The 25,978-nt window shown below is 37.5% G+C and overlaps 1 long non-coding RNA gene across 1 annotated transcript in view; it reads left to right on the top strand.

Annotated features, from left to right (window-relative positions):
* Window positions 1–25,978, top strand: part of LINC02006 (long intergenic non-protein coding RNA 2006) — a 378,977-nt gene that overhangs the window by 77,244 nt on the left and 275,755 nt on the right. Inside the window, exon 3 of the long non-coding RNA NR_146713.1 lies at window positions 13,026–13,108. This is a non-coding gene — a long non-coding RNA (long intergenic non-protein coding RNA 2006). The remainder of the gene's footprint in view (window positions 1–13,025; window positions 13,109–25,978) is intronic.

Genomic DNA, 25,978 nt, shown 5'->3' with positions numbered 1-25,978 from the left:
CTGAAACACTTTCAATTACATATATAGTTAGAAATGCTAGAATATGTTGACTAGAAAGTGTAAGATGTGCAGAGTAAAACTAAATAGTTTAAAGATATTGTCTTTATTCCATTGACGCTTCCCTCTCAATAAGTTCTCCTATATTACTGAAATTTTAGAGTAATTTCTTATACAAATTCAATATTATTATGGATTAAATGCTCGGTATTATCATATACTAAAATACCATCAATTCATATTAGTAAGGGTTTAGTTCAGCAAGATATTTTGAAGTCCAATAATGCCAGTGGTGCACTTCTAATCATGAATTTCTAAAATGACCCAGAAAAGGATTATATTAGAGTTCTCCAGAGACAAAGAACCAAGAGAGAGGGAGAGAGAGACAGAGAGATATCTATTGTAAGATATTGGCTCACGTAATTGTGAAGATTGAGAAATCCCACAACTTACCATCTGCAAGCTGGAGACTCAGGTAATCTGGTGGTGCAGTTAGAAGGCCAGAGAGCCAGTGGTGTAGATTCCAGTCCAGGTCTAAAGGCTTGAGAACCAGGAGCTCCTTGTTCATAAGAAGATGTATGTTCCAGTTTAAGCAGTCAGGCCAAGAGCAAATTAAAACTTCTTCTACCTTTTTGTTCTATTCAGGCTGTCAATAGATTGAGTAATGCCTATTCCCATTGGGGAGGACTATTTGCTTTACTCAGTCCACCAGTTTGAATGCTAATCTCTTCCAATAGTCTCTCCACACTCCCAAGAATAATGTTTAACCAGCTATCTGGCCATCCCATGGCCCAGTAAAGCTAACACATAAAACAGCCATTGAAAGGGTGTTACCACCTATATTAAGAACTCTCAAGTCCCCAGTGTTCCCTTCCCAATCATAGATGCCTGCTTCTCTCCCAACTGCTACCCTGGATTTTGTGTTTGTAACCCATTTGGTTTTCATTTACTTTTAATAAGTATGCATGTACTTCTAAGAGTATAGTTCTGAATATTTATGAAGTTTATATCTATGTAACATCACTGCATTTGTGAGGATCATCTATGTTGATGAGCATTGCTCTAGCTAATTCATTTCAAATGACAGTTTTCCGTTGAATAAATATAATGCTCATATATCTATTCTCCAATCAATGATGTTTTGTTTATTCCCAGGTTTTGGGTTTTTTTCCTAATACCATAAAATTTTATTATTATTAACATTTCTTTACATGTCTCCTCTTGCTCATGCATAAGAGCTTTTCTAGGGTATATATATATATATATATATATATATGTCCTAGGACATATATATATATAAACACATATATATATGTACTAGAATATATATATTTGACTCATATATATGTGTATAGATATATATATGAGTTGAATCCATGGGATATGGAGTATACTTATGATTAATTTTAGTAGGTAATGTCAATTGTTTTTTCGAAGTGATTGTACTAGTTTACAGTCGCACCATTTGTTCATATGTCTCAATTGCTGCACATCTTATCTTCCCCAACACTTGGTATTATGAAACTTTTAAAAAAAAATTAGAGACAGGGTTTCACCATGTTGCACAGGCTGGAGTGCAGTGGCTATTCACAGTGTGATTATAGCTGACCACAGCCTCAAACTCCTGAGCTCAAGTGCTCCTCCTGCCTCAGCCTCCCAAGTAGCTGAGATGACAGGAATGTGCCACTGTACATGGCTCCTTGTATTGCAAAACTTTTATATTTGATAATATGTGAGTGTGAAATTTATTTTTTCATATTCATTTTCATTCATATAGCTGACCACAGCCTCAAACTCCTGAGCTCAAGTGCTCCTCCTGCCTCAGCCTCCCAAGTAGCTGAGATGACAGGAATGTGCCACTGTACATGGCTCCTTGTATTGCAAAACTTTTATATTTGATAATATGTGAGTGTGAAATTTATTTTTTCATATTCATTTTCTGAGTCCTAATGATATTGAGTGCCTTTAATATGAGTATGAGCTGCTTGAGTTTTGCCCTTTTGTGAAATGTTTGTTTATAGATTTTGCTCATTTTTATGTTGGACTATTTGTCTTTTTCTTGCTTCTTTTCAGTTACATGCATGTTTTGACTATGTATCCTTTTGTTTACATGCATCACAAACATATTCTACCAGTTTTTGGCTTTTATCATTTACCTTGTGGTGTCTTTTGGTAGACAGAAAATTCTAATTTTATTTAGTAAAATTGATCAAACTTGTAAAAAACGATTGCCCTGTTTGTGTCTTGAATAAGAAATAATTTTTTTCTGCAAGGTGATAAATCTGTCCTTCAATGTTTACTAAAGTCTTAAAATTTTGGCTTTCCTATTTAAATCATGAATCCATCAAGAATTGATTTTTGTGCATGTTATAAAGTAATCAATTATCCCCTCAGCAATTACTGAATAGGATTCTTACCCCTTCTGATAAGCAATTCATCACTGTCATATTAAGATGTCACACATGAATGGATTTGTATGTCTGTTTTCTGTTCAATTGCCTAGGTCTGTCTACCTCTGTAACAATGCCACACATTTTAAATACTAGAGCTTTTTAATACATATTGATATTTTCTAATTTCTCAAATATTCTACCTGAAGAGTATCATAGTGAATTTTGGGGCTTTGCTCTTCTCTATGTATTTTAGAATCTGCGTGTCAAGCTCCATGCTAATATTTTTAAAATTTACATAAGTTCTATGTGACAATTTTTAAGATTTATCCAGTTATATTTGATAGTATCTTGTTCCTAATCCATACTTAGAATTATTTCTTTTAATGTATTAAATATTATATACAATATGTTTAATACAATACAATAGTATTATAATATTATAATGTAATAGTGAAATGGGTCAGGGTCAATGGTCTTGATTTCTGAGGTGTTATCCAAGCTCATTGTCTCACAACCAAGAGAATTATGGAGTGTGGACACAAAGGTTGAGGTTGGAGCAAAAGTTTAATAAGTGAAAGAAAGCTCTCTGCAGCAGAGAGGGAGCCTGAGTGGGTTGCCGCTTTTACAGTTGAATTTAAAAGCTTTTATAAGAAACTCCTCTAATCTCTGTAGCTGTTTGAGTAACTTCTCTTAACTGTAAAGCTGTCTGCATAACTCCCTCTTATCTATGTAGTTGTGGGTATGTCTCTAGGTAAGCACAGAGTGCAGCTTCTCTTGTTTATAATTGTGGGTTTGTTTTATGTAAGCCCCCCTTCCCCTCCCCATGAAGCTCCCATGGAGCCCACCATGTACATGTCTGAAAAGTGGGGGAAACTTTTCCTGTGAGTCAGCTAGTCACACAAAGAACAAAATGCTTCTATGCTACACCCTATCTGTGCATCTGTAGTCTGAGTTTTCCCCTGCTTGCTTTATTTTTGCCTATAGCTGTGATTATTCAGGCAGGCTGCTTCTCTGAGGACTAGCCCTAGCTGTCTACCTAGCTGATTTTTCCTTTTCTTATCCCTCAATAGCATTATATTAAACACATTGAATATATTTTTGGTTGATTTTGGTATCTGAAGTATCTTTGGGTCTGATTCTTTGTTTCCATAGACCCATGTTCAACTTCCTTTTTTCTCTTACCATTCTTTGAACAGATCCAGAATGGGATACAGCCTTGTCCCAGCACAAAGTAGGAGAAACAAGAAATTGCACTGTAACTTCTCAGCTCCTGCACCAGCATTTCATGGTGTTTTCCAAATTTTACGGTGGATAATTGGACATTCTTCGTCACATTTATTTGTGTCATTATAATTTAAAAATTACACAGCATTAGATATTTTTTCTTTCTCTTCTTTACAGTGAGATAGTACAGAGTAGTGGTTAAGACCATATACTCTGTCATACTATCTGATATGGTTGGCTGTGTCCCCACCCAAATCTCATCTTTAATTGTAGCTACCATAATCTCCATGTGTCATTGGAGGGAACTGATAGGAGGCAATTGAATCATGGGGGTGGGTTTTTCCCATGCTGCTTTCATGATAGTGAATAAGTCTCACGAGATCTGATGGTTTTATAAAGGGCAATTCCCCTGCACACACTCTCTTGCCTGCAGCCTTGTAAGATGTACCTTTGCTCCTCTTTCACCTTTCACTATGATTGTGAAGCCTCCCCAGCCATGTGGAACCATGAGTTCATTAAACTTCTTTTTCTTTATAAATTAGCCAGTCTCAAATATTTCTTCATAGCAGTATGAAAATGGGCTAATATACTGTCTACATTCAAACCTAGACTTTACCTATTTCTAGCTCTTTGAGGTAAACTTTCCCTATCTGAGCCTCTGTTTCTCAGCATTATGTTATTACAAAACTGGTTCAATTGTATATTGGATGGCTGGCAGTATTAAATGAATGAATGCATGTAAAGCTCCCACCTTAGAGTCTAGTACGTAGTAACAGCTCAATAAATATTCCTTATCATTGACTCTGGTGTTCTTCCTGAAAGCTTCAGCACTGAGTCTTTCACAGACTTGGTATCAACAGGATGTGGATTGATTGATGGTGCAGTATGTCTGACTGTGGACTACTGATACAAGTAACCTACTCCAGAAGGTAAAGAGAAGGTATGGTGGGTAAAAGGCTCATTACACACAGTACAGGCAAAGGAGAGCTACACTTAGCCAGCAAGATACACAGTAGAGTGTGAAGGCTGCCTCTGAGTGGGCAGTTCTGCCCACATGCTTGTAGCTTTGCTTCTACATTGTCAGGTCTGATGGATCAGGGCAGTGGAGAATTCAGCAGGGAGAAAGAGAATCATTTGGTCCTCTGGAAAGTGTTTATACTTGTTATGGTGATTTCCACTGTGCTTTACCCTTAGGTTCAGTCTCCAAAGAACAGATAAATGATCATAATTATTTTTTTCCTCCCTTTACTTTGAGAGAAATAAATTTACTCAAAGCATTTTCAGTAATAGAGCCAGATAAAAATCTTTGGAAAATGTGAACACAAAGATGAACAATCCCAAGGCTTAAGTCATTTTGTTGGGAGACTGTATATGATTTAAATGTGATGAAGAAATGCCCATTTTGCTCACCCAACATGTAAACATTTTAGATAAAATTGTTACCAAAATGCCAGGGAGCTGGTCTCGGTCCTGTTGCTTGCTGCACAGAAAGCCAGTCGCTGAGACAACAAGTATTGCCAAGGAAGAACTCTTTATTTGGGTACTGCAGCTGAGGAGAACAGATCAGTCTCAAATCCATATCCTCAACCAATTAAAAATTAGGGATTTATATAGCAGGGAAGTAATGTACTACATGCAGGAAAACAGGAATTAGGGAGGAATAAGGAAGATGAGTTGGACAACAGGAAGCAGTGGTCACTTAGGCAATTATGACAGGTGAGGGGTCTGACATCTCATTGTCCAGATGTGGTGATCTGGTTCAAGTTTCACTTCCTTGATACTCTTTGAGAGTCCTGATGGTTGTTTTTCAGAAAAAGGAACTCAGACAAGACAGATGTAATTTCTTAAGTTTTAAGACTGGGAGGGTCAATTTCTATGTTTATTAAAAAAAAAAACCATAAACATCATTTCTATGAAACAATTGAGTCAGTTTCAAAATTAAACTTGAAAATCTAATTTAAAAAATTTTTGAAGGATATCTTTCTCGTGATATCCTCTGTCTTTTTCTTCTCTAGAAGCTACTCTCCTTGTCACTACCCATTTTCTATGGTATTTTAAAATTATAAGTCACACAAAAGCAACAAGAATGTCATAATACTCACTTTTGTTCAGGACTCAACTTAAATGGTAATTTTATTAGGGATTATCATATACTACTACTGTTAAAATATTCACTAAGACATTGAATTAGACTTCTCAATATAAAATTATTCTGAGTATACTAATTAGTTAAGGTAATACATTTAGCACATTAAAATTACTTTTACTTAGTTTATTACTGTTAATGACTCAGATTATTATACCTGAACAATTTTTAAATCCATTTTAAAAAAATTATTTGCAGTTCCTTAAGCATCTATTTAAATTTCCAGTCTTAAGCTTCCTGCTCTGGTTCTTACTTAATATATATATATGCTGCATACGTTGCAAAGAGACTTGCAAAATATGAATCTTTTTTTTTTTTTTTGAGACAGAATCTTGCTCTGTCACCAGGCTGGAGTGCAATAGTGTGATCTTGCCTCACTGCAACCTCCGCCTCCTGGGTTCAAGCGATTCTTTTGCCTCAGCAACCTGAGTAGCTGGGACTACAGGTGCACGCCAACATGCCTGGCTAACTTTTTGTATTTTAGTAGAGACAGGGTTTCACCATGTTGGCCAGGATGGTCTTGATCTCCTGACCTTGTGATCCACCCGCCTCAGTCTTCCAAGGTGCTGCGATTACAGGCATGAGCCACTACGCCCAGCCAAGAATTTTTTTAAAGAAGTTTTGTTTGTGAAACAGCAATAGAGAAGGCTAATTTTGGAGTAGTAAATTGCCCAATTGTGTGTCAGGGTCAGCATCTTACTTTCTCTCCCACTAATTTGACTGTTTGGATTGTGATGATGTATTTGTATCCTCCCAAATTAGAGGGAAAGGCCTTTTTTTATTCTTCTTCCAGGACAAAAACTTGATTTGCACCTTGTGCCAGAATCTGGGTTTCTATTCCAAGGGGTCTGGGACCTAGTGATGAAGAGACAGCATCTTTTAACTCACTTCTCTCTTAAAAGTCATTCTTGTATTTGAAGAATGACTTTTAAATAACTAATCTATTTTGATTAAATTCTTAAAACTACATTTATTAGCAACAACAGGAGAACTTACTATTCAATGAAATATATCATTGTTATTAAATGACTAAATATATTGCTCTTTATTTATATAAATATTTGCATTGTGTGTTAATCTTGAGGTTGAGAAAAGAGTTGCTAGAGAAAACAGACTGGCAATAGGACACAGAAAGTTATAGGGACAATTTCATGTTGTGTATAGCTCACAAGTGTATTCCAACGATGTCTCTGGGGTGTTGTCTGCAGTTTTCATTTCATACCTAGATAGGAATTTTAACAAGATGGATCCTGTTTATTCAGTGTCAATTCATGATACTCATTCCTCATGCAGTCTACTCAGAGTTTACCTGTACAAAGAAAATACCATTGAAATATTTTCCCAAGAAACCCCAATGTGTTAAAGTAATCATATGTTTAAAATTTATTTTAAACATATGATTTTACAGTGCACACACATACATGCAAACTTACCTACTGCCTCTGAAACGAAATGCCAGGGAACAATGTACACTTTTACTATTTTAAACATTTCTAGATATTTCTATTTTATTTTATTAAAAAATGCTGGTTGGCATAAACATTCATGTGTTGGCTTTTGTATAGACATGAGCTTTCAACTCCTTTGGGTGAATACCAAAAAGCACAATTGTTGGGTTATAGGTAAAGGTATATTAATATATCTTGTAAGAAACTACCAAACTGTCTTCAAAAGTGGCTATGTCATTTTGCATTTCTACTGTCAGTAAATGAGAGTACCTGTTGCTCCACATCCTTGTCACCATTTGATATTATCAATGTTCTAGATTTTGGTCATTTTAATAGGTGTGTAGGATATCTCACTGTTGTTTTAATTTGCATTTCCCTGGTGATATATAAGTTGGAACATATTTTCATGTAATTACTTGGCTACCTGTGTATCTTCTTTGGTGAAGAGTCTTTTAAGATCTTTGGGCCTTTTAAAAATTAGGTTGTTAAGTTTCTTATTTTTGAGTTTTGAGAATTCTTTGTATGTTTTGGATAAGAGTCCTTTATCAAATATTTTATCCCAGTCTCTGGCTTGTCTTTACATTCTCTTGCCAATGTATTTCATGAGGCAGACATTTTTAATTTTAATGAAGTCCAATGTATCAATTTTTTCTCTTAAGAGTTGTGCCCTTGGTGTTATATCTAAAATTGATCATCAAACCCAAGGATTTGGATTAGATTTTCTCCAGTGTTATCTTCTAGGAGTTTCACAGTTTTGTTTTTTGTCTTTTATTTTGTTTTATTTTGAGACAGAGTCTCACTCTATCGCCAAGCTGGAGTGCAGTAGTACGATCTCGGCTCACTGCAACCTCCACCTCCCAGGTTCGAGTGATTTTCCTGCCTCAGCCTCCCGAGTAGCTGAGACTACAGACACGCACCACCACACCCAGTTAAGTTTTGTATTTTTAGTAGAGATGGAGTTTTGCCATGTTGGCCAGGATGGTCTCGATCTCTTGACATCGTGATCTGCCTGCCTTGGCCTCCCAAAGTGCTGGGATTACAGGTGTGAGCCACCGTGCCCAGCCCAAGTTTTATAGTTTTTTATTTGACATTTAGGTCTGTGATCCATTTTGAGCTAATTTTTGTGAAGAGTATAAGGTCTGTGTCTGGATGTTTTTGTTTTGTTTTGCCCATGGCTGTCCAGTTTTTCCAGCACCATTTGTTAAAAAGACTAACCTTTTTTTCCATTGCATTACCTTTGCTCTTTTGTCAAAGATCAATTGATTATATTTATGTGACTCTATTTCTTGGTTCTCTATTATGTTCTGTTTATCTGCCTATACTATTGCCAATACCACCTTATCTTGATTACTATAGTTTTTTGGTAGCTTTATTTATAGCAGCTTTCTTCACAATTGCCAAAATTTGAAAGCAACCAAGATGTCCTTCCATAGGCAAATGGATAAATAAACTGTAGCACACCCAGACAATGGAAAAGTCGATCTATCAAATATCAATGGATAGTCAATCTCACCATACTAAGATGATAAAACTCAACCCAAAACAAAGAAAGCTCTCATTTTCATTTTGGTTATGCACCGTGAAATAATAAAATCACCCTACTGACCCAATACTTTCTCTCTCCAGACCCCAGATTTAAACTAACTTCCTATAGATTGTGGGTGAAGTATCTGATGGACCGTCTCATACTTGGAAAAAAATTTATTTACCCAACATTTATAGGTTACTTACAGCTTTGTAAAATTCGAGTGAAAACTTTCTGACATTTTGGTTACAAGGCACATAAGATGAAAAAGAAAGCTGCATAGGAAAAGCCAGAAAGAAAAAGATAAGCTCTTTAGATTTATACTATATCCATTTTCTTAGTTATATTGAAGAAGAAAACAGAAATTCATCTCCTGTGTCTTTTTGAAAGACAAATTACTGATGCTTTGACAGTACCAGAGGGGCAGGTAGACTCAGACTATTTCCTATAAGTTTTGCTAATAGAGAAGATGAAACTGGCACTGCGGATGAAAGTGCTTCTCACGGTTAGGTCACAGGTTGGAAATAACAGTGAGAGGCTACCCTACAACTTCCCATCTCATAGCTCACTCAGCGATGAGAGCAGGGGGGTTGCTCTCATCGTTCTTTTTAACTTTTTCAGCTAAAAAGAAAAAAGAAATAATGATTTTAAATGCCTAAGAGATGAAAAGCTTAAAACCGAGGTTATATTAAGTAGGCTTCATCCCAGCCAGGCGCGGTAGCTCACGCCTGTGATCCCAGCACTTTGGGAGGCCGAGGCGGGCAGATCACCTGAGGTCGGGAGTTCGAGACCAGCCTGAGCAACATGGAGAAACCCCGTCTCTACTAAAAAAAATACAAAATTAGCCGGGTGTGGTGGTGCATGCCTGTAATCCCAGCTGCTTGGGAAGGCTGAGGCAGGAGAATCGCTTGAACCTGGGAGGCGGAAGTTGCAGTGAGCCAAGATCGCGCCATTGTACTCCAGCCTGGGCAACAAGAGCGAAACTCCGTCTTAACAAAAACAAACAACCAACCAACAACAACGACAAAAAGCAGGCTTCATCCCAAATGGACCTGGTACCACTTTTGATAAAAATTAAAGGAAAAGATTTAAAAAATTTACCCTTGACCAGCAATGAGAAGGGGCAGAAGTTATGCCACACTGAGTCTTTAACTGTTCAAGTCACCAGTACTAACAGACATCAGCTCTTCAGTAATTATATCTCAGATCAATTTATCTAAGGAAATTAAATTTTGAGAGTGTAGAAATAAAATAATAACAAAGTGTAAACTTTATCGAAATAGTTTGCCCATTATGGACATTATTCAGTCAGCAACTAGAATATCCAGAATTTTTCTAGGATATTGGTTTTTTTATTTTTTTGTTACTTTCTTGCAAAAGTACCATTTAAAGGTTGACATAAATGATACTGACTTTCTCATTCTATTCAGCATGAGTCTAAGAAATATAAGTATTATGCAATATATGAAGTATAGACACATTGCCTTCCACTATAATGTAATTTTCTTGAGTTTCAGAATCTAAATTCATGCATTTTCAAGGAAATAGAAATGCTTTCAATTTCAATTGTGTGAAGCTTGTCATAGAATGGAACACCCTTTTTTATAAATGAAAAAGACAATGCAAACATGAAAAAAATAACTACTTCTCAGGCATTGCAAATTTACTTTATTTTACTGATTAAATAAACAATATAAAGCCCAGTCATTTTGTCTGGAAGCTTCCATTACAGACTTCTGTTGCTGAATCTCTTCCACTGTTCTGTGATTGGGCTCAACATTGACATAGGATATATTTTCCTTTTTCTTGCCCTAGCAAAATCCTGCCCTGTCTGGTGAATACAAATGCCCCCAGAGCACTCCAAGCAGAAATATTCATTCTTTCAATACACTATTTGTGGGAGGCTGAATGATGTCCACCCCCAAAGATGTTCTCATCCCATTCCTGATAACCTGTGAATATGTTACCTTACATGATAAGAGAGACTACACATGTATGAAGCTATGGGTCTTGAGCTGGGGGAGATTATCTTGGGTGATCTGGATGGGTCCATTGTAATCACAGGGGTCCTTAGAAGAGGGAAGTAGAAAGATAAGAGTTCGAGGGAAAGAAATTATAAGGAAAGAAGCAGAGATCAGAGAGGAGAAAGGATACTACTTTTAAAATGGTAGAAAGGCCCTTGGGCCAAGAAATGCAGGTGGCCTCTACAAAGTGGAAAAGGCAAGGAAACAGATTTTCCCCTAGAGCCTCAAGAAGGAGTGCAGTTCTGATAAGACCTTCACTTTAGCCTAGTGAAATTGACTTTGAACTTCTGACTACAGATAATAAGTTTGTGTTGTTTCAAGCCTCTAAGTATCTGTGATTTGTAACAGCATCAATAGAAAAGTAATGCACCATTACTCATCAATCTTTGTGGCTAAACGCTTCCCCTAGGAGGTTTATGATGTCTGTTTATACAACCTTGAACTCCCTGTTTCTTGTCAAAGTTATAGAAGGTGCTGGCACCTGACTCATCTATACCTCTTGCTCTCTTATCATCCTAAAAATCCCTTACCTTTGGTTCAACTCTGGGTTTTGTCTCCAAGAACTACTAGTTTACTTCTGTCTTACGTTACATCACCACTCATCCTGAAACCCATGATAGATCACCCAAATCTCTCTTAATACCCTTGGATTCATGTCTTTCTGCTACAACTATCTGGCCAGTACTAAGCCTAGAATTAATCTCACTGTCTGTCTTTTCCACTCTTATACATGATTTGTTGAAAATTGCTGGAATAAAATTCCTCAGATATATAGACTGCTCAGTACAGATTCATGGTCTTCACACTTAACCAGGTTCTTAAAACTGGCCATTATTCATTTTATGTGTCCAAAACAGAACTGTGTCCCATTCTCATTAGTGGTTGTTTTAAATCTTCACCAACTCTTTTCACACCTCTTCAAAAACATCACCCTTTTCACTTGTAGCTGATGACCTTAAATCTCACCTTATAGATAAAATTAAGATGAGAAAATGTGAATTATCTTCATTCAGGGGCTGCCTATAGGGCATGTAGGACTCAGGGGAAATAAATTTATTGCAGGGTCCCTATTTGTAGAAACAATTTGATTATTAAAGAAAGTGTTACTAAATTAATGGACCCATGTGAATTACGGCAATTTTTTTTTTTTTTTTTGAGACAGAGACTCGCTCTGTCGTCTGGGCTGGACTGCAGTGGTGTGATCTTGGCTCGCTGCAACCTCTGCCTCCCGGGTTCAAGAGATTCTCCTGCCTCAGCCTCCCTGGTAGCTGGGACTACAGGCGCCCACCACCACGCCCAGCTAATTTTTGTACTTTTAGTAGAGACGGGGTTTCAGCATATTGGCCAGGCTGGTCTTGAACCCTTGACTTCGTGATCCACCTGCCTCGGCCTCCTAAAGTGCTGGGATTACAGGCATTAGCTACAGCGCCCAGCCAAATTATGGCAATTATTTATGATGACTTAGCGTAGTAGGTAGAGAAGAGACATTTGTGTATTTATTTATTTATTTATTGTCTATTCAGTGCATGTGAAGATTCTTCATAGTGTCCAACACCATCTCTAGAAAGATGGTTCAGGAATTGTGGCTTCATATTCTTTATTATCAGATGAGCCATTTCTGGTTAATTCTGTATCTCCTACCGTTAGTAAAAGGTAGCAGTACCGTTATTAATCACAATATCCAATGTCTGTATTAAAACAATAGGAGGGCTGCGCATGGTGGCTCATGCCTAGAATTCTAGCACTTTGGGAGACCAAGGCAGGTGGATCACCTAAGGTCAGGAGCTCGAGAGTAGCCTGGCCAAAATGGCAAACCCCCATGTCTACTAAAAATAGAAAAATTAGCCCGTTGTGGCAGCGCATGCTTGTAATCCCAGCTACTCAGGAGGCTGAGGCAGAAGAATCGCTTGAACCCAGAAGGTGGAGGTTGCAGTGAGCCGAGATCTCACCACTGCACTCCAGCCTGGGTGACAGAGTGAGACTCTGTCTCAAAAAAAAAAAAAAAAAAAAAAAGGAGATCCCTGATATCACTTATTTAATGCTCATTACATCATTACTCATGATGCTACATCATCCATTGTGCCACCCATGAATATTAGCTTCCAATGACCCTCTTGACAGTTCTGACTCTGCTTTGTTGATGATGACCACAAATCCAAGTCTTGCCATAATTCATTTTCTGGTCATGTTAAATTTATTGTTCAGAATCTTTTAAAATAAATATAGAAAAAGACATCTTCCAATCATGTCCTTTTTTGAATGTTTTAGGCCATAATGAATGCATTTCAAGAATGTGATCTCTTTCAGCATGTCCACACCCTGCCTTCCACATGTCACTACAGGAGAGGAGGGTAAGTGAATGACTCTTGGTTGAAGCAAGCAGATCAGTCCATTTCATGCAGGCAATATTCGTTTCTCTTCCAGTACAGCTGAAGACCAACTGAGGGGAGCACAATGTCACCATATCAATGAGAGGCAAGAGAAGGGTTGACTGGAAGCAACTTTTGGTATTAAGGAGCAATGGTCATAAAAGCCTTTAGAGAAGATAGGTGTAGCCATTTCCCAGTGACTGCTTGAACAAGGCACCTGTAGAGAAGTTAAGGTGACTTCCCTGAGTGCCATAAGTGAAAGGCGTATAGGATAAAAGATCTCTGCTGCCACCCCCACAGCCCTTGGTTGCTGATTGCTGACTGTATCCTCACAAGCAAGTGTCACCAAAAATCACCATTCCAGTGCCATTCTGGCAGCCCATTCTCACACAGTCCCATACAAGAAAGTTACTACACCAGCCAGCAAGAACAAGGTGCTTACTAAGTCACTCTCCTAAAATCTGGGACTAACTTCAGGCCAATGACAATCCCATAGGTATGATTTCCAAACATCTTAGGGGCATTTGGTAGAGCCCATGCAAGTAACAAAGCAGCAGAGGGTGTCCTGAAGGGGAAAGATAGGGCCCAAGGTCCATCCACATCCTCTCAGATGGCACTGCCATCTCCAGTCCCAGGTATCTAAGACAATTTTGAGGAAGATACTTCTGTTGACAAGGGATAGTGTGGAACTATCCCAGGGTCCTGATCCAGGGTACCCTACTGATGAAAGCACTGCTGTTTCTGATCAATTCCAAGTCTTAGTGGAGGACTTGAAAATTTTGAGAAATGCATGCCAAAGCTTGGGATCTGTAGACGCCCAAGTTAGTACTTCCCAATTGTCCGGGTCTAAGAGTGATACTTCCTCCAATGCCCATTTCCTCCTTTCAAAATTAGTTATATCTGTTTCCCTCCTTATCTTCTGCACTGTAAATATCAGAAGGGAAGGTACCTTTTTCCCCTTCAAGATCATCTGCTCCATCTGCACTCACTATATCATCTTCCCTCATTTACCTGGAAACGTCACTTCAGTTATTCTCCTCTCTACTCTGATTTCTCCCATTCCTCTTCTGCTTTGAGTATATAAACAGACTCATCTCTCTTCCAGTTTGCTCATTATCCCGTTTCCTACTTCTGTCTTTTCTCAATCACTTTTCAGGAAAGATAAGTCTATACTCATAGGTTTCCCCTTCACTTTCCATTTTTCCCCCACATATCTGCAGTTTGAGATTCCTCTGCCCTAAGTGCTCTGACAGTTATTAGTGACCAATGTATCATCGAATCCAAAGATTTTACTTCCTTACACATTATACTTGTTGCTGTCTCTGTTGCAATTCAAACTCTTGGAAACAGTCTCCTTGAAACTCCCTTCTCCCCTGTGTCACAATAGTTCTCTGACTGCTCTCTCAGTTTCTTCCTGAGGTTCTTCCACACTAATCCTTTGAGGCTTGCATTTGCCACATGTACTACTTGTATCGGTTTTCTACTCCTGCCTGACAAATGACCACAAACTTGTTAAAACAACTCCTGTTTATTATTTCAGTTTTATCGGCTGGAAGTCCAGGCATGGAGTAGCTGGGTCCTCTCTCAGGTTCTCACAGGCTGAAATCAAGGAGTTGGCAGGGCTATGTTCTTTTAATGGAGGACCTAGGGTGGAATATGCACCCAAGTTCATTCAGTTTGTGGCAGAATTCAGTCCCTAGGGTTGATGGACGGAGGTCCCTCTTTCCTTGCTGGCCAGTAGCTGGGACCACTCAGCTCCCAGAGGCTATCTGCATTCCTTGACATGTGACCTCTTGTATCTCAAAGCCAGCAACAGAGAATCTCCTTCCCTTAAAATCCCCCTCAAATTCTAAATCTCTTTCACCAGGAAAAGCCCAGATGATTTTAAGAGATCACCTGATTTGGTTATGCTCTACTTAGATAATTTGTCATTAAACAACAGCATTAGTTGCTGGCATAAACATTTGCTACAAACTTGAAAACCCCAAATGTTCATCAATAATAGATTAAATAAGTTGCATATTTTAATGCAGTGAAATAATAAATGTCAATGAAAGTGGCATAATTATATAGCTACCAGGAAGCAAAACAGATGAATGTCAAACACAGCTTACTGAAAGGAGACTTATAAAAAGAGTACATACTATATGATTGCTTTCACAAAATGTTCAAAAACAGGCAGAGGTGTAAGGACTGGGAGACAGTGGAAGAGAGGCTTCTGGGGTGGCTGGTAGTGTTACATTCTTTAATCTGGTGGTGTTCACATTGTTCGCATTGTGATAATTCGCTGACCTGTTCCTGCAGGATTTATGTAGTTGTCTGTAGCTATTTCTTTCTCCAAACAAGATTTTTAAAAATTACTGGTTATATCAGCCATTATTCTTCCTCTTTATCACCTTGGCCTTCAAGACTTCCCCACAAGGGGAGCCCTACTTCTTTAAAATTAAAAAAATTTTGTGGGTACATAGTAGATGCATGTATTTAACGGGCACATAAGGTGTTTTAATATAGGAATACAATGCATAATAATAACATCAGGCAAGGGGGGTATCAATTACCTTAAGCATTTATTTTTTCTTTGTGTTACAAACAATCCAATTTATATTCTTTTAGTTATTTTTAAATGTACAATATTGTTGACTGTAGTCACTCTGTTGTGCTATCAAATACTAGATCTCATTCATTCTTTTTAGTACTTCTCTCTTTGTTCCCTGTGTTCCAGCCACACTGGACAACCTCTTTTCCTCGTAACCACACAAAATTTTTCCACTTCTCTGTTTTTTCTCAATTTTTTCCTCCTTCAAATATCCTCCAAACTCCCTCCAACCGTTTTTCAAATTCCATTCCCAATGCTACTTTCCATTCAAAATTCTCCCAATTTATCCATTTCAGCCTAATCTGTTCTTTCTCCAAACTCCCATGAATTTTTCTAGTTTTGATCATTATATTTCATTTTTAATTATAGTAATTTGAATATTTTCTCTGTCCGATGTGGTCCACTGAAATCTCAGCTAAGGAAGAAAGTGTGGAAATCTACTGTATAAATTTTTTTTCAAAAATTTTTCAAAAATTTTTTTCAAAAATTTATAGACTTGGGATTTAGAATAATTTTTCATGTACATTTATTATGGAAAATTTCCAGCATACAACAAAGTAGAGAGAATAACTTGCTTTTAACATTTCATATTTTTTCCTTATATATCAGAACTCAGATGGCTTAGCCAAGTTCCATAATGAGATAAACAAATGATTTTGGTCTCTATTTTAGGATAGTGTAATTTTCATCCTTCCTCTCCCTTCCTGTCCCTTTCCTCACACCTTCACTTCTTCCTTCCCTCTGACATGTTTTCTGAATATAAATTTTTCGATCACTCACTCTGAGTGATAGAACTCTGAGAAATAGAACATCCTGTAAATTTCTGGAAAGTTAAAGGTAATGGGACAATAAAATGAGTTTCCCACACCTGTCCCTTCAAATTATTTGTGTGTGTGTGTGTGTGCGTGCATGTGTATTGATATAGTTAACAGCAAGTACAAAATATATATTACAAAAGTGGAAGAGAGAAATGGGTTACTATGTACTAGGAAACTAATTTTTTTTTTTTTTTTTTTTTTTGAGATGGAGTCTCGCTCTGTCGCCCAGGCTGGAGTGCAGTGGTGCAATCTCGGCTCACTGCAAGCTCCGCCTCCTGGGTTCACTCCATTCTCCTGCCTCAGCCTCCCAAGTAGCTGGGACTACAGGCGCCTGCCACCGCGCCCGCCACCATGCCCGGTTAATTTTTTTTGTATTTTTAGTAGAGACGGGGTTTCACCATGTTAGCCAGGATGGTCTCGATCTCCTGACTTTGTGATCCACCCGCCTCGGCCTCCCAAAGTGCTGGGATTACAGGTGTGAGCCACCGCGCCCGGCCAGAAACTAATTTTTAAATGTCTATTAAAAGGTGATTTTGCTTCCTTACCATTTTGAAGACTACTTACAGTGAAGATAAGCAAAATTAAAATCCACATTTCTTTAGCACTAAGGAGTTCAGATCATATCAGAATGGACAGAGAACATTGTGTCTTTGAGGGGTCCATTAAAAGAGTTTTTAATATGTTTTTAAGCATATACATTTAAGAAGTACAAATGCAGTATGAGAAACATAAATCAGACTTTTGATAAATTAAAGATATAAGGTCTTAGTTTTTCTATTTAGGAAATAAAAAAGAATTTTTTTTGTCCAGAAACCAAAACAGAAAAAGAAAAAGACATACACATCAAATAGACTTCAGTCTTCCTTTATTATATCTAGTACTGAAGAAACGCACAAAGAGGTATTGTTTTTACTTTTCTTACAGTAAGAACTTTTCTACTAAGATAACAAGCATACCTTCACACAAACACTAACTATGTAAGCAAGGTCAACAGCAAGTTATATAATAAACTCCTTGGGGGTGATAAATAGGTTTAATTGTAAGTGACCAGTTGCTTTTAGAATATTAGAGTGAATCTTTTGGAATTTTGGCGGGGGGAGGGTGCACGGGACAGAGTGATGAGTAAGTAGCTACTACTGTTATTTTCCACCGATCAGTGCAATGCCCAACAGAGCTGTGATCTTCAAGTGTTAAATTACATTGCATGCAAGTTGGTTTAGATGCTAGGTCAGCACAGAAATATACATGGGTAACTATGTTCCTTGTTAGCATTCTTGAGATGCTTCATTTGTTAATACTCAGTTCACACAGTGAAGCCCGTCTTTTCAAAGGCTTTTCATGCAACATATATATTTTTCCTTCAAATTATTTTCATTTTCTGCTGAACTTTGCTGAGGAAGTTGACATTTCATGTTAGTCAGCCAGTAACTCATTCAAACATTTTGTTTTGTCCACACTGGTTCAGTGACTCTTGCCATCGCTAACACAATTATTATTCTGGCTTGCGCTTACATCAAACCATAAATGCCTGCCCCTTCCATCTGTAGTAAAGCAAAAGCATTTGCCAAATAATTTTAACAACCAAATTGCAGATCATAAAGATAGAAAACAAATAGTAAGGCAATATTTGTTCCAGAGCAGCAAAGAATTTAATGTTACATTGTTGCTAGGCAAAGGCAAGATAGTGAGGTGAGAAGTAGATAAGACGTGGTAAAGCCTTTTTAAAGAGCATCTCTGAAAACATTAGATAAAATCATTTTGCATTTAGCACATCTTAGTTTCAGCTTACTATTTTATAATGTCCTGTTCCAATGTTTATTACTGAGGCTGCAAGTTAATTAAATGAAAATATACTTCTTTGCAGTCTTTAGTGAAAAATAAAACTATCACTTTAAATGACATTTTAAAACCCTATGTTAGCTTTGCCTATAGATTTATATTTAATATATAGTTCCTCCTCACTCTTTTTACTATGAACACAGGTTTTAATTCATTGTTTGTCCCTGACTCTTTAACAGTACAATTGTTATTTAGATGAACTTTGAACTTTTTGAATCAGGAATTCAGGGTTTTTTTTTTAATTCCTAGCCTCCCATAAAGCAAGGACACTGCCTTCACTCTCAGTCTCACCCTTATCAGAACTCCTCTTTCCCAGCACTAAAAAGTATTAAAAATACATTATTTTAGTGGTAGCTTACCATGTAAAATACCTACCATAACTAGTATAGTCCATGCCTGCTTTATTTTAAGGCTTTACTGAATGCAACAAGCAGAGTCAATCTGTAGCATGATCATTTTGTGATAAGAATACCTATTAATTAGTAAGTATGTGCTACATCTCCCCTTAGGTATTGATAGCATTTTAGCCAAACATTACCATTAGCAAGTCCATAAATAAGTAATGGTGGCAATACGTTTTGTAAAATTATAAAGATCTTTTTTTTCAGGGCTTATTTCTTTATAAATAGCAAAATGCTGTCATTTCCAAAATGAGAAAATCATCTACCATATCTTTCCTGAAAAGAAATATTTATACACAAAATTTAGGACTTCAAACGTTTCTTGAATTGCATGAGTTGAACAATAGTTATCCATCTGGGGAAAACCACCACAGCTGTGTGTGTTCCTATTTGATATATATAGGACCTTGCATTAAACTCATCATTAAGGGGAGTGATTATTTTTTTTAAAGACGTTTTTTATTTAACCCCAGCTCTGGGTACAGAGAAGCGCAATACAATTAATCAAACAAATAAACATAAACCTTATTATCTTCATATTAGTTAAGTAAATGAGGCAATAGATAACTTATCATCACTTTTAATCATTTTGACAGAAGATATAGCTCACCATTCAGGGCCGGTGCAGAATACAATATTTTATCAGTCTTCCATCCCCCTATATTTTAGCAACTTGATTTATCTCCAGGTAAAGTAAGTTAACATGACATTATATTATATATTAACATAATATTGAACTTAACTAGTATTAACTACTATTCATCAGTACAATTATTACTTGATATGACTGTTATTAAGAGGATATATTTACTTAACATTTTTATCACTCCCTATCTTTTCTAAACAAAGGGAAATAAATCTTTCAGCTGAAAGAAGTTCCAATAGTCTCACAATTCAAGGTTGAAGAAATACAGCTTTCATTCAAATTAAGCACAGACAACCTATGCAAAAGGTAAAACAAGAAGGTTCAATAACATGTGAAACGGCCTCAGATTATTCATAACACAATGGTATAAGAATAAAAGTTAGGCCATTTAAAGTCTGATAAAATTAAACCAGAAGTATTCCAGCCTGTCTGTAAAGAGCAAATAATAAGAGAGGGGAAAAATGGATATAAAATTTCCCAGTGAAAAAGAAATATGCAATTGGGACTTAAATTGTGCTTCTAAACAGATTAATGTTGCTCTAGGTCTGCCTTCTCCAGTTAATCACATTATTATTTCTTTATTCTGAACAATCAGTTTGTATCACTTTCAGTATGTTGGTTTATACCCTAATCGAAATAAAAAGTGCTGTTCATTATTGAAACTATCTCAAGAGTTTATTATCCAATTAACAAGCTATCCACATATTTCAGATATGCTTTGAAAGTTCTGTTCTTTGTTTCATACAAATTTTTTGTCAAAGTGAAAGATGAATTATAAATTCAACTTCAGATAGGAAGCTACTCTAATGCTTTGTACCACATTCATGGAGTTTCCTTATTGTAGAGTTATTGCGGAGGTTTTGTTTATTTGTTTGTTTGTTGTTTGGTTTTTGAGACAGGGTCTTGCTTTGTTGTCCAGCCTAGAGTGCAGTGGCACAGTCGCAGCTCGCTGCAGCCTCAACCTCTTGGGCTTAAATGATCTTCCCACTTCAGCCTTCCAAGTAGCTGAGACTACAGGTGCACACCATCACACCCAGCTAATTTTTGTATTTTTCTTGTTGTTGTCGTTGTCGTTGTTGTGGTTGAGACAGGGTTTTACCATGTTGCCCAGGCTGGTCTAAAGCTCCTGAACTCAAGCAATCCGCCTGCCTCAGGCTCCTAAAGTACTGGGATTAAAGACATGAGCCGCCACACCTTATAATTCACTGGGCAAGAACTATGGTTTCAGCTATTAATGGAATATTTTTGCTAGTGGGGCTGGTTTGCAGGACTGATCGGTTAGGAGAAGGGCAAAGGAATGGAAACTACCATCTTCAGAAGATCATGAAGGTTGATGAAAATGGTATGGTTGGGCAATAAGCACTCTGCGTTTTCAAAGCAGTATTTCCAAATGTTGCATATTACATTCCCTCTTAAATATACCTAATGTGCATTAAAATATTAAAGGTTCTGATATTACAGTTTGTTTACTTTAGAACTTGCCAAATTTATCTGACCACTTACATTTAGGGACAGGGTGTACATTATTATTTCTGGGAAGCAAAAACAAAGAAGAGGATGGCCAGAATAGCAGTAGAGAAAAGCAGCTGCCTGGCTGATAAGCTACTGCCACTTGCCAGGGCGTGAAGCAGAACCTCTGGGTCTGTGAGTAAGAATGATGGAACACAAAGCCCCCATCCATGCAGAATAAGCAATAGCTTGCTGGGGTTTTTTTGTTTGTTTGTTTGTTTTTGTTTTGTTTTTGAGACGGAGTCTCGCTCTGTCGCCCAGGCTGGAGTGCAGTTGAGCGATCTCCGCTCGCTGCAAGCTCCGCCTCCTGGGTTCACGCCATTCTCCTGCTTCAGCCTCCCGACTAGCTGGACTACAGGCGCGCGCCGCCATGCCCGGCTAAATTTTTTTTGTATTTTGTATAGTAGAGACAGGGGTTTCACCGTGTTAGCCAGGATGGTCTCGATCTTCTGACCTTGTGATCCGCCCGCCTCGGCCTCCCAAAGTGCTGGGAATAGAGGCGTGAGCCACGGCACCTAGCCAATAGCTTGCTGTTGAAGCTACATGTTTTGACTCTTGCTTCTGCCCTGGATGGAGAAATGCAATGCCTGCAGAGGAGAAGTGTGGGAACAAAAGAATGAAATTCTGCTGCAGAAATTTGTCTCTAAGCCAGTAGCAGTTCTACTGAAACTATTCCAAAAAAAAAAAAACAAAAAAAAAACTGAGGAGGAGCAACTCCTCCCTAACTCATTCTATGAAGCCAGCATCACTCTGATACCAAACGCTGGCAAAGACACAATGAAAAAGGAAAACTACAGGCCACTATCCCTGATGAACGCAGATGCAAAAATCCTCAACAAAATCCTAGCTAACCAAACCCATCAGCACATCAAAAAGTTAATTCACCATGATCAAGTAGGTTTCATTGCTTGGATGCAAGTTTGGTTCAACATACACTAATCAATAAACGTGACTCATCATATAAGCAGAACTAAAAACAACAACAAAAAAATGATCATCTCAAAAGACATTGAAAAACCTTTTAATAAAATCCAACTTCCCTTCATAATAAAAAAGCTTCAAGAACCAAGGCATCAAAGAAACATGCCTCAAAATCATAAGAGCCATCTATGACAAACCCACAGCCAACATCATACTGAGCAGGCAAAACTGAAAGCATTCCCCTTGAGAATTGGAACAAGACAAGGATGCCTATTCTCATCACTCCTATTCAACATAGGACTGGCAGTCCTAGGCAGAGCAATCAGGCAAGAGAAAGAAAAGGCATTCGTATAGAAAATGAAGTTAAACTATCTCTGCTAATGATATGCTTCTATACCTAGAAAACCCTAAAGACTCTGCCAAAAGGCTCCTGGAACTGCAAATCAAAATTGCAATGAGATATCACTTCACCTCAGTTGAAATGGTTTTCTTTTTCTTTTTTCTTTTTTTTTTTTTTGAGATGGAGTTTCACTCTTGTTGCCCAGGCTGGAGTGCAATAGCGTGATCTTGGCTCATTGTAACCTCCGCCTCCCGGGTTCAAGTGATTCTCCTGCCCCGGCCTCCTGAGTAGCTGGGATTACAGGCATGTGCCACCATGCCTGGCTAATTTTGTATTTTTAGTAGAGACAGGGTTTCTCCATGTTGGTCAGGCTGGTCTCAAACTCCCAACCTCAGGTGATCCACCTGGCCTCCCAAAGTGCTGGGATTGTAGGAGTGAGCCACTGCGCTGGGCCTCAAATGGTTTTCATGCAAAAGACAGGTAATAACACATGCTGTAGAGGATGTGGTGAAAAGGGAACCCTCGTACATTCGTACATTGTTGGCGGGAATGTAAATTAGTACAACCACTATGGAGAACAGTTTGGAGGTTCCTCAAAAAACTAAAAATAGAGTTACCATATGATCCAGCAATCCCACTGCTAGGTATATAAGCAAAAGAAAGGAAATCAGTGTACTGAAGAGATACCTGCACTCCTATTTGTTGCAGCACTGTTCATGATAGCCAAGATTTGGAAGCTACCTAAATGTCCATCAATGGATGTTGGATAAAGAAAATGTGATACATATACACAAAGGAGTACTATTCAGCCATAAAAAAAAGAATGAGATCCTGTCATTTGCAACAACATGGATGCAACTGGAGGTCATTATGTTAAGTGAAATAAATCAGACATAGACAGACTTCACATATTCTCACTTATGTGTGAGTACTAAAAAACAAAACAATTGAACTCATGGAGCTACAGAGTGGGAATGGTTAATGATTACCAAAAATATATATAGTTAGAAAGAATGAATAAGACCTAGTATTTGATAGCACAACAGGATGACTATAGTAAATAATAATGTAATTGTACATTTTAAGATAACTAAATGAGTGTAATCGGATTGTTTGTAACACAAAGGATAAATGCTTAAGGGAATGGATACCCCGTCTTCTATGATGTGATTATTGTTTACTGCATGCATGTATCAAAGCATGTCATGTACCCCATAGATATATATACCTACTGTGTGTCCACAAGCATTTTTAAAAATAATAAAAATTTAAAAAAGAACAAACCTGGAGGCATCACATTACCTGACCTCAAACTATACTATAAATCTACAGTAACCAAAGCAGCATGGTACTGGCATAAAAACAGACACATAGACCAATGGAACAGAATAGAAAACCCAGAAATAAAGCTTTACATCTGCAGCCATCTGATTGTTGACAAAGTTAACAAAAATAAGCACTGAGGAAAGGACTTCTTACTTAATAAACGTTGCTGGAAAAACTGTCTAGCTATATGCAGAAGAATGAAACTGGACACCTACTTCTCACCATATATAAAAATTAGCTAAAGATGGATTAAATATTTAAATGTAAGGCCTCAAACTATGAGAATCCTAGAAAAAGACCTAGGAAACATCATTTCTGGGTATTGGTCTTGGGAAAGAATATATGATTAAATCCTCAATAGCAATGACAACAGAAACAAAAATTGATAAGTGGGGCCTAACTATAATAAAGGGCTTCTGCACAGCCAAAGAAACCATCAACAGAATAAACAAACAACCTGCAGAATAGAAGAAAATATTCACAAATGATGCATCAAACAAAAGTCTAATATCTGGAATCTATAAGGAACTTAAACAATTGAACAAACAAAAAACAACCCCATTAAAAAATGGGCAAAAGACACGAACAGTCACTTCTGAAAAGAAGACATACAAGCAGCCAAAAACATATGAAAAAATGCTCAACATTACTATCATAAATGCAAATCAAAACCACAATGAGATACTATTCATACCAATCAGAATGGCAATTACTAAAAGTTCAAAAAACAACAGAAGCTGGTGATGTTGTGAAGAAAAGGAAACACTTAAATAGTGTTGGTGGGAATGTAAATTAGTTCAGTCACTGTGGAAAGCAGTTTGGAGATTTCTCAAATAACTTAGAACTACCATTTGACCCAGCAATCTCATTATTGGGTAAATGTCCAAAAGAAAATAAATCATTCTACCAAAAAGACACATGTACTCATATGTTCATTGCAGCACTATTCATAATAGCAAACATGGAATCAACCTAGGTGCCCATAAGTGGTGGATTGGATAAAGAAAATATGGTATATTTATACTATGGAATACTATGCAGCCATGAAAAGAATGAAATTATGTCCTTTGCAGCAACATGGGTGTAGCTGGATGCCATTATCCTAAGCAAATTAATTCAGGAAGAGAAAATCAAATACTGCATGTTCTCACTTATAAGTAGGAGCTAAACATAGGGTACTCATGAACATAAAGATGGCAACAATACACACTGGGGACTACTAGAGCAGGGAGGGAAGGGGGAGGATGGGATAAGGATTGAAAAACTATTGGGTACTATACCCAGTACCTGGGTGATGGGAACAATCATAATAAATCTCAACATCATTCAATATACTCATGTACCAAACCTGCACATGTACCCCTGAATCTAAAATAAAAGTGGAAATTATATAACAAAAGACATTTTCCTTTAATCAGGGTTTAGAAGGGATTCTTTATTGCTTGTGTCCCTGTCCTAAATCTGATCCTTCTTTATATAAAAAAACAACAACTTAGCATTATATTTGTCATCCAAACCACCCCCAAGATAGGTAAGCATCCTGGATAATCCATTTGCACTATTATGTCTTCCCCCATTGGGAGACAGGACATTTTCCCACACACGTATGGGAAAAACAGAAGCTTCAGGGTCAGGCTGATTCACGTTCAAATTCTAAATTACAATTTGCTAACTATCTGATCTTGGGTGAGATATTTCATTTCTTTAACATATTTTTCCTTCAAGTGCGGATGATGCTGTATACCTCACCTATGTTATCTTTTGCCCATGTTTTCTTCATGGCCACTAGCCAAAAATAATAAAATGTTCCATGAAGGCATTATGCTGAATGTTTTGCACATATTATCTTATTTAAATCTTGTAATAACCCAATGAAGTGGGTACTATCATTATCTACATTTTATAGAGGAGAAAACTAGTACACAGAGAAATGTTCCAAGGTCACATAGATATTAAGTGGTGGAGTTGGGAATTAGACTGATACTGAGTGTACTCTTGAGCACTATGCTAGTCTGCCTATACATGCAATTGCAGGAGAGGGAGGGTGAAATGTAAATTACCTGTATGTCCCTAGCCATGTAATATTAATCTATTGATAGTTAAGCTGGATCCTGATAGCTCTAAGTCTCTGACTGCTTTACTCTGAAACTCCAGTCCCTACCAAAGACCTGAGAACTCTTAACCTTTTCCAGCTAACTATTCTGATTACCAACCCTTTTTTGTTTTGTTTTTGAGACGGAGTCTCACTCTGTCACCCAGGCTCTGGAGTGCAGTGGCGCGATCTCAGCTCACCGTAACCTCCACCTTCAGGGTTCAAGCAATTCTTCTGCCTCAGCCTCCCTAGTAGCTAGGATTACAGGTGTGTGCCATCACACCCAGCTAATTTTTGTATTTTTAGTAGAGACGGGGTTTCACCATGTTGGCCAGGCTGGTCTCAAACTCCTGACCTCAAGTGA

Source organism: Homo sapiens, chromosome 3 (assembly GCF_000001405.40).
Source record: "Homo sapiens chromosome 3, GRCh38.p14 Primary Assembly".
Lineage (NCBI taxonomy): Eukaryota > Metazoa > Chordata > Mammalia > Primates > Hominidae > Homo > Homo sapiens.
Note: the sequence above shows the minus strand (reverse complement) of the source record. Positions and strands in the feature narration are given on the sequence as shown.